The sequence below is a fragment of the Homo sapiens genome, chromosome 1, assembly GCF_000001405.40.
Source record: "Homo sapiens chromosome 1, GRCh38.p14 Primary Assembly".
Classification (NCBI taxonomy): Eukaryota; Metazoa; Chordata; class Mammalia; order Primates; family Hominidae; genus Homo; species Homo sapiens.
Window position 1 is genome coordinate 182,196,113 of NC_000001.11, and position 12,908 is coordinate 182,209,020.

At 41.1% G+C, this 12,908-nt stretch overlaps 1 long non-coding RNA gene across 1 annotated transcript in view; it reads right to left on the reverse strand.

Annotated features, from left to right (window-relative positions):
• Positions 1-7,832: 7,832 nt before the first annotated feature.
• The window catches only part of LINC01344 (long intergenic non-protein coding RNA 1344), a 110,117-nt gene continuing 105,041 nt past the window's right edge, over positions 7,833-12,908 (reverse strand). Inside the window, exon 3 of the long non-coding RNA NR_104175.1 lies at positions 7,833-7,993. This is a non-coding gene — a long non-coding RNA (long intergenic non-protein coding RNA 1344). The remainder of the gene's footprint in view (positions 7,994-12,908) is intronic.

Genomic DNA, 12,908 nt, shown 5'->3' on the forward strand with positions numbered 1-12,908 from the left:
AGATTGCCCACACTCATTGGGTTATGACCTTCTTCCTCTCTTTTGAAAGCCAGCCAGCAACACTGCATTTCTTATCAATATTGACACCTTACCTACTGAATATTGCTTTGGTTCTAAGATTCAGGGTTTTGTGTTTCTGTGGTTGTTTTATTATATGCATCTCTTCCCAACTGTATGTTCAGAGACATCTCATTGGTAGCTTGAAGTGGCATGGTGGTCTTCAGTATGTAGATATTGGGGTGGGTCATTATTCTAACATACTGCTTGACATGGTCATTTAGTGAGACTTCAGGATCAAAAGGTATGATGTTCTACAGCTTTTAGTATCCCCATCAACCAAAAACCAATTAATTTCTACCTGTTATCAAAGAAGGAATGCTTTAATTGGTCATTGCCAATTTTGTTTTTTAGTTTATTTTTTTCCTAGAATATCACAACAGGGATCCTCTTCTCTTTGATTCATTGATGGATTCCAATATCCTAACAACACATGATAGATGTTCAATAAATATTTGTAGAGTAAATGAATAAGATCTGCCTGAAGCTAAGCCACTATCTTCCTGGTAGGTGATTCCACTAGGCTTTCTCCATCATTTGTATTACAAAATCTTTGTAGGAAAAGAATTAAGCTCCTCTCAATAACTCTTTCTTCTGCAGACTCATAGTAATTTACAAAATACCTATATTATAAGGGTGGCAATTATCTGTTATGGTAATTTATCTTATACATGTGTGACTCTTCCGCTGTAATGGAAGCTCTTAGAAATCAGGGTTGGTGTCTTTGTTTTGTTTTCATGTTTATTTCCTTCTCAAAAGTAATATTTCCTTTATTTTTATTATCTATTCCTATGAATGTGTTACATGGAAAGCTGAAAGAATTGACCTTGCATATGCTTCTTAGCTGGAGTGCAAGCCCCTTTGCAGCAGGTGTGATGGACAAAGCTGTACTCCAAGACTGTGACAGTCCTCAGCCCTGTCAAGATTTCAGGCTCAGCACATGTTCGTTGAAGGAATGGTGTTGGCTTTCCCTTTGAAAACCTTGGAGGGACTTCAGCAAAGGCCAAAAGAGGAAAAGCTGAATTTCCTCCTAAAACATTTCATGGTCCCTGCCTCCCACACATATAGGAGTTTCTAATTTTGGGCTTGGCACCAATCGCCTATCAAAGCAAATTATTCTTTAAAAGGCTTAAGTGGGAAGCCAGCCCAAGGTTTTGTTTTGACAGAATTGTACGTCTGAGTGGGGCTGACCATGTTCTTGGCCTTGGCTGTACTCTCTTGTGACACAGAAATAACCTGAACTCCTCTGATGTAACAAGTTTTGAGAAGTTCTGCTGAATTGATTGACAAATCTTTCCCAGGACAACTTGAGATTCTCAATGTACAACAAGTATATCAACGATGATGATCAAATTAAAGAGCTTTTCTTGGATTTTCCTGTCACTCCTGGCAGAGGTAATATGGAAAACCCAGGCCTTGAGAAAAACATGCTTAGAGCATACTTTGGCTATTTGCTGTAACATTACTTTCCAAATTTTCCGAGAAGCTTTAAGCTGCTAACATAAGCATAAATGCTGCTCTACTGCAGCCACCATGAAATAAACAGCAGGCTGGGACACAAGAGCCGGCACACTCTGAACCAGCTTTCTGGGGAAACTCCCTAGGGACCCAAGGTTGCATAAAATTCAACAGGAAGGCAATCCAACATCGTCCAAATGCTCTTTCCCTACCATAGGGTTCTATCATGTTTGCCAATTCCTGCTTGCAAAATCAATCTATTAATATCATGCATGAAGATGCTTCTCAGAAAGTAGTTTTTATTGGTATAGGAGGCAGCTCCTCCAGGGATAGTTGGAGGTCAGAGTCGTATGTTCCAGAACCCTCTGTCTTTAGGTTGAGGCTAATTGACCAAGACTCCAAGAAACATTTTTTCTAGTCAATCAAGGTCAAAACTTAACGTGCTTGTTTATATTGGGGGAATGTGCATATAATTACATATGTGTTATGTATGTTTATTTAAAAAGCTCCTTGTCCTGAGGGCAGAGGGAATGATGCTGCCTCCTAGTGGGAGACAAATTGAGAGACACAGCCATTTAGAATAGGCTGGAGGAATTGAAGAGGAGCCTCAGATCCTAGGTAAAAATGCAGACTCTACTCTCTGCTGCTTAACGATCTAATTCTATATGAGACACAAGATCTCTTTCTGAAGGTCTATACAGCCTCTCTTGGTAGCCATTCAAACCTACCAATCAACATATTTTTGACAACTTCCTATTTGTTCAAACATGTGCCTGGAATCAAAGAGGACACCAAGTGGCTGGGCATGGTGACTCATGCCTGCAATCCCGGTCACTTCGGGAGGCCAAGATGGGAAAGTTGCTTGAGTTCAGGAGTTTGAGACCAGCCTGAGCAACACAGCAAGACCCTATCTCTATTTTTAAAAAGAAAAGAAAAAAAAGAGGACACCAAGAAAATATTAGGCAGGAATTTTGCCCTCAGAAAATGTATGCATCGTTCAGTAGAAGAGACTGGTTTGTACCTTAAAACAATTTGAGATAAGCAATTCTTCATCTCTATGGTTCAGTTTATGTGTCAATGGCTTAATCTTCTTTTGGACTCCCCTGTCCCCAGGAGCAAGCCCAAACTCCTTAATCTGGCATTCAAAGGTGTTTATAATCTGGTTTCCCACCCACATCCTACTCAACCACATTTCTTGCCATTTCTGTTTTGCGTTCCATATTTCCACCACTCCTGAAACTGGCTTAAGGGTAGGCCCTTCAGGTAAGCCAATTGCTAAGGCTTTCTAACATATGAAATCTAGCAAGTCATAGAGAAGAGAATTGTCAGACAGGGCTTCTTGTGAGATCCTCTAATAAACTGCTAAGGGTGGGAAGTGATATCCCCCAGTGACATGCTTAAGTAACAGTAAAAAAAAAAAAAAAAAAAATCCAAATGGCTTTCTAAGAAGAGTAGATTCACCAGATATCAGAATTTTGTTTGATTGAGTCAGGGACCAAGGAGTTGACTTACTTGGGAAAATAGAGAAGCACAATTGCATATTGTCATCAGAGAGCCCTCTTTATCCACTGTTGTAACATCTAGCTTCTCCTCTAAACAAAATTTACTAAAACTGGTCAAAAGAAGCACCTAATTATTAGCCAGCTGACAGTGGGCTGGCCATGGCTTACTGAACCACCTGTATTCTCTGGATTTCCCACGCTCTGTCTGTGCTTTTGATAGTTTTATCTGGAACCACCCCACTGCTACTCTATATCAAGTTAATCTCAAAATGCAACAAAAGCTATTGCCTCCATTATAAAACACTCCCTGACTTTATGCTACCCTCTGGCCTAACCTGCTCTGTATTAAGTGCTAAGTCTTTGTGTTCCCATTGACTTTGATGTACATCTCTTATCCCAACACTTTATTAAAATAAGCTTTTGGTGTCTGGTCCCTTCGCTAGGCTCCCTGATGGCTATGAGTTGTGTCTTCTTTTTCTATGTACTAAAGCATCCCTCCTAGCTACTGGACCTTTGAGTATATTAGTGCCCTTTTTTAGGATAGGGAAATGGGAGATCATTGAGAATACCTGAGTAGTTGGATTCATAGGAAGAGACCTGGGTTGGGTCCTGGCCAATGGATTGGTAAGATTTGAAGAGGCAAGGGGAGGTCCTTCTTCCAGGAGAGTGATTGTGAGCAAGGGTGTGTGAAAGAAACAGTAAAGGACACAAGCCCACCTATGAGAGGCAAAACATTCTTTCATATACCTAATGAAGATCTAACAAAGTCCATTTTCTTTTGCTCAGTTCTTCCCAGAATGTCAAAAGGGTAAAATTGCATAAATTTGCAAATAGGTGGCCAGACATGGTGGCTCACACTTGTAATCCCAGCACTTTGGGAGGCCAACATGGGCAGATTGCTTGAGCCCAGGAGTTCAAGAGCAGCCTGGGCAACACAGCGAAACCCTGTTTCTACAAAAAATGCAAAAATTAGTTGGGTGTCATAGTGCACACCTGTAGTCCCAGCTACTAGAGAGGCTGAAGTGGGAGAATTACTTGAGCCCAGAAGGTAGAGTCTGCAGTGAGCCATGATGGCACCACTGCATTCCAGCCTGGGTGACACAGTGAGACCTTGTCTCAAAAACAAACAAACAAAATGTAACTGGAATTGTAAGTGGACAGAAACCTTGGTTGCCATTCCAGCTATGAAATCAAGTCTTCTGAGGGGCTGTACAAATTCATAGGACAAGATTCTTTTAATCACATACTCGACCCTCAACTCCTCAAAAAAAGTCCCTAAATAGTGAGGTCTTGTTCAGGGGGTGTTCACAGCATGAAATAGGAGTAGTTAGAGGTTAACCAGAATGGAAGGCCTTTGGCCTTTGTAAATGCAGCTCCCCGGCACAGGCCTCAAGTTCCTATCAGTGGTCTGTTTCTTGAGCCCTGGGTTGAAGATTATTTTGTTGACAATGTGGAGATTACTTTAGAGAGTGGTGCTCAGGGCTGTTAGGTGATTAAGTGGATGGAGGGTAGAAAGTATTGAGCAATACCTCTTTTTTTTTTTTAGACAGGGTTTTTCTGAAACAGAAAAATATCAGATAACACCACTAGTTAGACTAGAGTCTTCTGTTTCTTGAGATTTTGGAGGGGAGGAGAAAGAGTCAAATGATAAAGATGAGAATGCTGTGAGAGATTTTCGTCTGGAAAAAACAACTTTTAGACCATGTTTCAAGAGAGGAAAATCACATGTATACTCTTAAACTGCTTCATGTGTGTCTGCAAAGCAGATTAAGGTGTGCTTATAGAGCAAACCCTGATGTCTACAAAAATCTTAACAATAAAAAGTAATGCCTATTAAATGAATCAGAGAGCTAAATGTGAGCTAACACAATAAACCTTCTAGAAGAAAGCATAGAATAAAATCTTCGTGACATTGGATTAGGCCAAGATTTCTCAGATTCAGCACAAAAAGGAAAGACCATAAAAGAAAAAATGGATCAATTGGACTTCATAAAAATTAAAAATATTCTCTCCTAAAAATGTTAATTACATTAATTCATTCATTCAAGTATTTATGATGTGCCAGTACCCCCTAGCTGTTGTATTATGGCAATGAATTGCATTCCCTCTATTATACTGCACTGGAGCAGGAAAATACATTTTAGAAAGATTAACAATAAGAAAAATACCCCTATTATTTAAAAGTAATTTTTCATTTAAACTCATGGACAGGATCAAATACTAGGAAATGATGGAAAATGCTGAGAAATAAGAATGTGTACAATAACAGGCCGGGGGCAGTGGCTCATGCCTATAATCCCAGCACTTTGGGAGGCTGAGGCAGATGGATCACTCAAGGTCAGGAGTTGGAGACCAGCCTGACCAACATGGCAAAAACCCATCTCTACTAAAAATACAAAACTTAGCCGGGCATGATGGCAGGCGCCTGTAATCCCAGCTACTCAGGAGGCTGAGGCAAAAGAATCACATGAACCTGGGAGGCAGAGGTTGCACTGAGCCGAGATCGCACCACTGCACTCCAGCCTGGTTGAGAGAGAGAGAGAGACTCTGTCTCAGAAAAAAAAAAGAATGTGTACAGTAAGCCTGACAGTTGGTATTTGTTAACTCTCATACCATTTGAGCAAGAATCCTGGCAATGCGGATGCAGGATAAAGAATATTAGCACTTTGGAAGACGGTCTGAGACCACATTTCGCTCTATATTATTTTACCATAGGACTTTAGAGTCAGGTAGGACCAGATTTGAAAATTAGTTTTTCTACCACCTGTGGGATCCCAGACTCTGATTAAAATGTCTACTTTATAGAGTTGTTATAAGAATCAATGAGGTAATAAATAAAGTGTAAAGTGCAAGGCACATAACTGGGCCTGAGTAAACGGAAACTGTCATTGGATGATGATAATGGTGATGATAAAATCCAATCAGGTTCCAAAAGTTGACCAGAACTAGGCAGCTTACTTGTTCTTCTTGAGAAATGTGCATCCTTCCCCATAGTAATCTTAGGGTCTAAAGGAAAAATGAGGGCGCTTCCCCTCCTTTTCCCATTCTGTGCCCATGACATGTATCACTAACCAACCCACCCTAGAATTCTTCAATTAGTCAGTCCAAATCCCTCTCCAGCCGCATCTGATCCATATAAAGTTGTTGGTGGAGATAAAATGTACCTGCCATTCTGATTCAAGGCTTCAATGGATATCCCCTCCAGACCAGGAAGGATGATTGTAAGTTTATCTTTCCTACAAGGATAAAGGCCCAAGTCTAGCCTAAGGAGAGATGACTAGGGGTTTTAGAAGGGGTTTAGCCATACTATAGTACAAGTTTATTCCTCAAATAATCAGTTTATTTGTTTTTTATTTAGTTTAACTCTTTTCCTGTTTGTTCTACATTTGCAAGTAAGCTATTAATCCTTTACTTGACTTGTGGGATTTCTTGAAACTGGTTCTTGACTTCTCAGATCCTAGAGTCACATACCCCCTTCCCTACCTTGTAAACATTAGAGATTTTTTTCCTTAGATTAAGAGGGGCTTGGACTCTATCTGGACAGAAAATAACTCTGTGATACAGAAAAGACAAAAATCTACCAGGTCAATGATCTGGTGATCTGATTCAGCTAGGGGCAGTTGTACTCAAAGGGACAGAACCATCCCTAAGGCATGGTTCTCAACCTTGGCTACTAAATAAACTCAACAGAAGAGCTTAAAAAACGCTCATGGCAAGGCAGCAGCCCTGCCTGACCAATTACATCAGAGTCTCTGCAGATTGTGCCCAAGCACCAACTGGTATTTGAATTAAAGTTCAGCTCATTTTAACATGCAGCCAAGGCTGGCAGAGAACCTTTGTCCAAAGGTGTTTTGGAAATTTGCAAAGTATCCCTGGTATCCCAGATATTGAGGCAAAAGTGTTACTGCCATTTTCTTGGCAGGGATATGGGTTCAATGTTGTTACAGTGCCTCGAACAGTTCCCTCACAGTGAAAAATTGTTCCACCTTTTGAATGTCCTACTGGATAACTGATAAACTTGAAAAACTTATATGATCTGGAACTTTACCTTACATATGAACACAAAGAATTTTTTGCATGGTTTTTATTAATGTATATTGAATTTTCCCAGAATGTAATCAACATATAAATTAAGGTAGAATTGTACTTTATTTTATTTAAAACTTTCTAAGAGTTGCTTACCTTTTTAGAGAGCCAACACCACTTTTGGTATTTGAGTAGTCAGCATTTGTAGATGCAGTTTTCATGGTGATTCTGTGTACAAGTGCCAGTATCTGATGATCTCATTGTGCCCAAATGTTTACTTATTGAAATGTATTTACTTCATTGTAAAACATATCTATTTCACGTCTCTTTACGACAAAATATTGATTTTCAAATATTGTGTGTTTAGGTGGATTATATAATATTATTTCTGAATAATAAATGTGGTATTATGAAATATTTCTTATAAAAAGGTATCTTACAGTTGATATAATGTTAAAGACTTCTAATCTGGGGATTCCCTTTGTGATGTGTAATACACAAGCCCTCTCAACTTGCATTTCTGTTTAATGAGCATGAAAATTCCAGCAAGCCCAATGTCAGGGGTGTTAACTTTGAGCAAGTTACTTAATGTCTCTATGCCTTAGCTTCCTCAACTGCAAAAATAGCCTACTAATAGTAGTTAAGAGCTGTCAAGAAAATTAATTGAGATCAACCATAAAAAGCACTTAGCAAAATTTCTGGCATGTAAGAAGCACTAAACAAAGGTACCTGTTTTCATGATGATGATGACAATGACAATGATGACGGTGATGAGGATAAATTCAGTAGTACCGTTCAGAGAAGACCAAAGACTTTTTAATCCATCCCTCAGGCAAGTACATCATCTCTACACTTCTTCTTTTCTCAAGGTTAAATACTGGCCAGAGCAGATGACATGAGATGCCTACTTTTGGATGGAAACACCTTGCATGATCTCTGCTTCTTCATTCCTGTAATTGTTTTAAACAGTACTCATGGAAGAAAACTCAGGACCATTTTTGTTAGTGGCTAACAAATTGTTACAGCCTTTATCATAGTGTAAGCATTCTGCAAACTCAGAGACTTTGCATCTGGAGATCTGCTACTACGATGCAACATTCAGTGTCTTTCAAAATGGAACCTGGCATATCACCTTTTTGTTTGATATTTTCCCCACTCTTCATCTCACTTATCCTCCTTTTCTTTCATTCCCGTCTACATACAAACTTCATGAGAGAACAGTTTTCTCTTTGGAAGAATCTAACTTAGATATTTTGTGCTATCATATGGACAGAAGGGCTAAAACTCTTCTTTAGTGGCTAGTCAATAATCGCAAAGCCAGGATCACAATTTCCTCCCAGTTTTCCACTCAGTCCTGACTTTGCTCAGCTGGAGTATTTGCTAATGAATAGACTCTGCTTTCCTCATTCAGAAAGTACACGGCTTTTGTCATTGGCAGAGCCCATTCACTGTCTATGTCATATATAATGTCAAGTTTTGTAAGCATAATATACCAGATAGGTCTCTGTTCAGGAACAGTCCACCATGTAATCCAGTTCTTCACCACAAGGACCTGTAGTATCATGGTAGGAGATGTTGAGAGTGAGACATAGCCAGCTGTGGATTTCCAGCTGAAGAAGCATTGAGAAGGTATTTTAAGTATTCAATACTTTGGGGCAGGATGACACACAAACCATTACAGATAGAGGAGCATCAGGTACATGTTAAAGGCCCTCAGAAATAAAGAGTCCATAATCAATGCCAAATACCATCTTGTAACAGAATTTCTTCTTACTTAAGGGGAGTTGGTATTATTGAGAACTTATTAACAGTCAGGAATATTTTACATTCATTGTCTTAACTAATGCTCACAAAAGCCCTCTGATTTAGGAACTCAGACAACCCCATTTTACAGATGAGAAAACTGAAGTTTATAGAAGTTAAGTTACTTTTCCAAGTAAGTGGCAGAATCTAGATTCAACCCTAGTATATTTTTCTCTAAAGGCCAAGAGATTAGCTACCATGCCTTATGCTACATTGCCTCACCTGAACACTCATGCTATAATTTACACTCACTGCTTGTATTTGTTTCTGGCACAGTCTCTCCCAGAACCCCAGAATACCAGACCAGCACCATCTAATGGAAATATAATGTGAGCCATGAATATAGGCCACATTTGTAATTTTAAATTTTCTAGTAGCCACATTTTTAAATATTAAAAAAATGAGTGAAATTAATTTAAATATTGTATTTAACCCAGTATATCTAAAGCATTATCATTTCAACATGAAATCAACATAAAAATTATCCATGAAATAACTTAACACTTTCTTTTGGACTAAGCCTTTGCAAACTGATGGGTGTTGTATGCTTACAGCCTGACTTAGTTCCAACTGTCCACATTTCAATTGCTTAATAGCCATGTGGCCAGTAGCTACCAAACCAAACACCATGAGTCTAAATTCATAATCCCAACACTCTTCATAATCTTTGGAGCTCTTCTTGAAAGTCTTTCAGAAGATAGGAACAGAACTGACAAGATAAAGAGCCTATTTTTAGTTATTTGCTTTAGTCCAAGAAAAGAAAAGAAATAAACAATAGATTTCACAACTTCCATCTACAACCAGTAGTCAGCTTAGTTGCTGAAGGTCAGATGAGAAGCAGAGTGATGGAATCCACATCATTACATAACATGTGTCAGGTGTTCACATGCTTTCAGAGGGAAGCTGAACACAATGTGAAGATCAGAAAGCTGTAGATCCCTGACCAGAGGGTTGCTCATGAATCCAGCTCACAAGGAACACCAGCAGAGCTACCATTAACTCCCTCCCAGTCCTTCCTCTCCTTACTGTCACTCTCACCCCTGCCCCAGTTTGAAAGGCAAGGTGCATGAGCCAGGCCTAACCAGTGTAGGACAGACCCCATCCTCCTCACATCCAGAGGGCAGAAAGAAACCTCAAGACCTCCTTTCACCCCCAGCCCCTTGGAGAATCCTCTAACACCAGGAGTTCTCAAACTTTTATGCACAACAGAATCACCTGGAGGACATGTTAAAATTCTGATTCTGTGCCTTATCCCCAAGAGGTCTGAGATGGGGCTGGGGAATGTGCATTTCTAGCAGGTTCCAAGGCTGTTCATGCTGTAGGTCAGAAGATGATCACACATTGAGAACCCAAAGCTCATCCCTAAGTTATCAATATATCACTCAACAGCAAGAACAGATCTAAGAAAAGCACAGTGCCTTTTTCACTCTTGATAAAAATAAATGTGATTTTTAAATAGTTGATGTGTTTGGCTATTTCTCCCTGCCCTCCATTATTTCCTCTAGTCCAGGAAGGAAGGAAGGAATCATAATGGAGAGACAAAGATGAAAGGGAAAAAAGCATGGGGGCAGGGAAGTTAGCGGGAAATAGGGAGATGGACAGAGATAGATCACCAGAGTTCAGGATGGTGGAGAATAAGGCAAGATCTGTGCTCAGGGAGGAAAAGGGCAGCACAGCCACCTCCAGGCCCCTCAGCTGGGCCTGATGCACAGACTGGGGACAAGTTTGCCCATCTTTCTTTTCAATGAAGCCACAAAAACATCTTACACAGAGATTGTTTTCCTCTTTGCTTTTAAGAGAGGAAATCATGGTTGAATGCTATGTGACAATGGGCAGTTGCAAACCACAAGAGGCTTGACACCCCCATTCCAGGCCCCATATAGTGCTTCACTCCCCCTTTGCCTATGTGTGGGCTTTTTTTTATCTCTAACCTTTCAGGGTGCCTGGGTTTTAAAAGGAGAGGCAGTGAGACTTGCTGAGTTGCAAGCAGCTGGGAATTTGGAATGCATCTTTGGAGATACACACTGAGCCTGGCTCAGAACTTCCAAGAAAACTCAGTGGGAGGGGAGGAAAAACAACGCAATGACATGACGCCTTGCAGGGCCCGCCTTGGCCTTACTGAATCGCCCAGAGATTGCATTCCAGCTGCACTGAGGTGACCCAATGTTCCAGTAAACAAGGAGGGGATGGGATGGAAGGACCTCAGATCAGGCTACCCTGAGCTGTTAAAATAGAACACAGGGGGCCCAGCAAGGTGGGGCAAGGGGGCTGTGAGGCCTTTGTGCACATCCTGGATCAGTGAGGCACACCCACGAGGCACACCGGACACACATATACACATATTCACTTCTGGTGGGACTGGGACAAATACCAAAAACCCATGTTCTAGCCTCAGAATGGTCAGAAACTGGTGACCTCTTTAAGATCCTTCCTAGGAATCTCAGAACACAAAGGGTGAAGTAAGGAGACACTGACTTAGGCCAAGCCAGGCCACTGACTAATGGTGCCATGCTCTAAGTAATCCCTTTGCCTTCCAAAAAGACAAACTGAGCCACAGCAGACGAGCACAGTCATTGAGTCCATTTCCCCATTTGATGCCATAGCATGGAATAGTTGACTGATGATGCTATGACTCCTCGGGCTTATCCCGCCCCTCCTCCCTTGCCCCCGCACCCTCCTGTTTTCTCCTCTGTCTCCACTTCCATTTCACCAGCCACCAAATGAGCCTATGTGACAATCAGAGGGGTTTAGTAGAAATATGAGGAAGAGTGCCCTGGCTCAGACAGCGTAGCTATGGAAGTTCCTTCCCTGAGTGTCCATCTGCCTGGGCTAACTTGGGGCTTTGTAGCCCAAAGAGCATATATAGCTTGCCTCTCCCGCATAAATGTGTGAGTGATATCCTATATTCCTCTATATTCTGTATGTCTAGGTGACCCAAGACTTTATCATCCACACTGGGACGGCTCTAAGAATTAAAGGCAGTGCTCTTGAAAACAATTCCAGGACAAAGACATTAACCAGGACATAGGGCTGCCTGCATGACAAGGGGCCCATTTACCATCCTGGACGTCCCTCCCACATTTCTCGGCCCGTCCTGCTTTGCAGATGACATATTTTTACTATGTCTGATTTGTCCTTTCCCTTTACTGGTTTTAGCCTATGTTCCTTCATTTTCTTATATAACAATCACATTCAGGCAGTTACCGCTTCTCTATTTTGAAGTGAAAAAAGGTGAGTTTTGAAAATTCCCTATGTAAAAAGTTGTAAGACCCCTTCATTAAGGCTCTGAGGGGTGTGTTCCAGCAGCCTCCATGAGCTGCTTTTCAATTCCAGAGATTGGCTACCTTCTGAACATTAGTGTCCAGTGGGTATTGTTGGTGTTACTCACCAAATAGTCACATTCCAGTTTCTGGAGAAGCAAAACAGTGTGAAAAATGGTGATCCTTGCTTGAGTACTCAAAGCAGGGAAAAGGCTTTTCTCATGCTATTTCCTTAACACTCGTGGTAACAGGACCTGCTTCCTCTCTGTCTCTCCAAAGTGCTTAAAGTGTCGTGCATGTTTTCCATGTTTACAGCCACCCTACAAGGTTCCAGTCATCCTCATTTTACTGACTGACACTCTAAGTTGAAGCCAGAAAGCGGGGATAGCCAAGTCTTATCCAAACCCAGATCTACCAGGTCCCAAAGCCCATGCTTGTGCTCCATCAGTCTGGGCATCTGCTTTGCAAACCTGGCTTGACCTTGGAATAACCAGGCATGGACCCTTGTTTATTTTTCAGAGTCTCATTTTTTTTTCACCACTGATTGTTCCTTTCCATTACAGCTGGTGATATCATACTCCAGCAAGCGTTATCTAGTAGACACCAAGACTTGAAGCAGCCTCAGAAAAGTACTGGGCATAATAGGGCTTGGGCTAGAAGTCTGGCATTTCTGTAAGTCACCTAGGCTAAAGTCCAGAGAGGCAAGACAAGTCCAGAGAGGCAAGATGGTGGGGGAATGGAGGGTGGTGCACAAAAGTTTTACTAACTTAGGGGATAAGTGGTCTCCATAAGCAAGACTGGA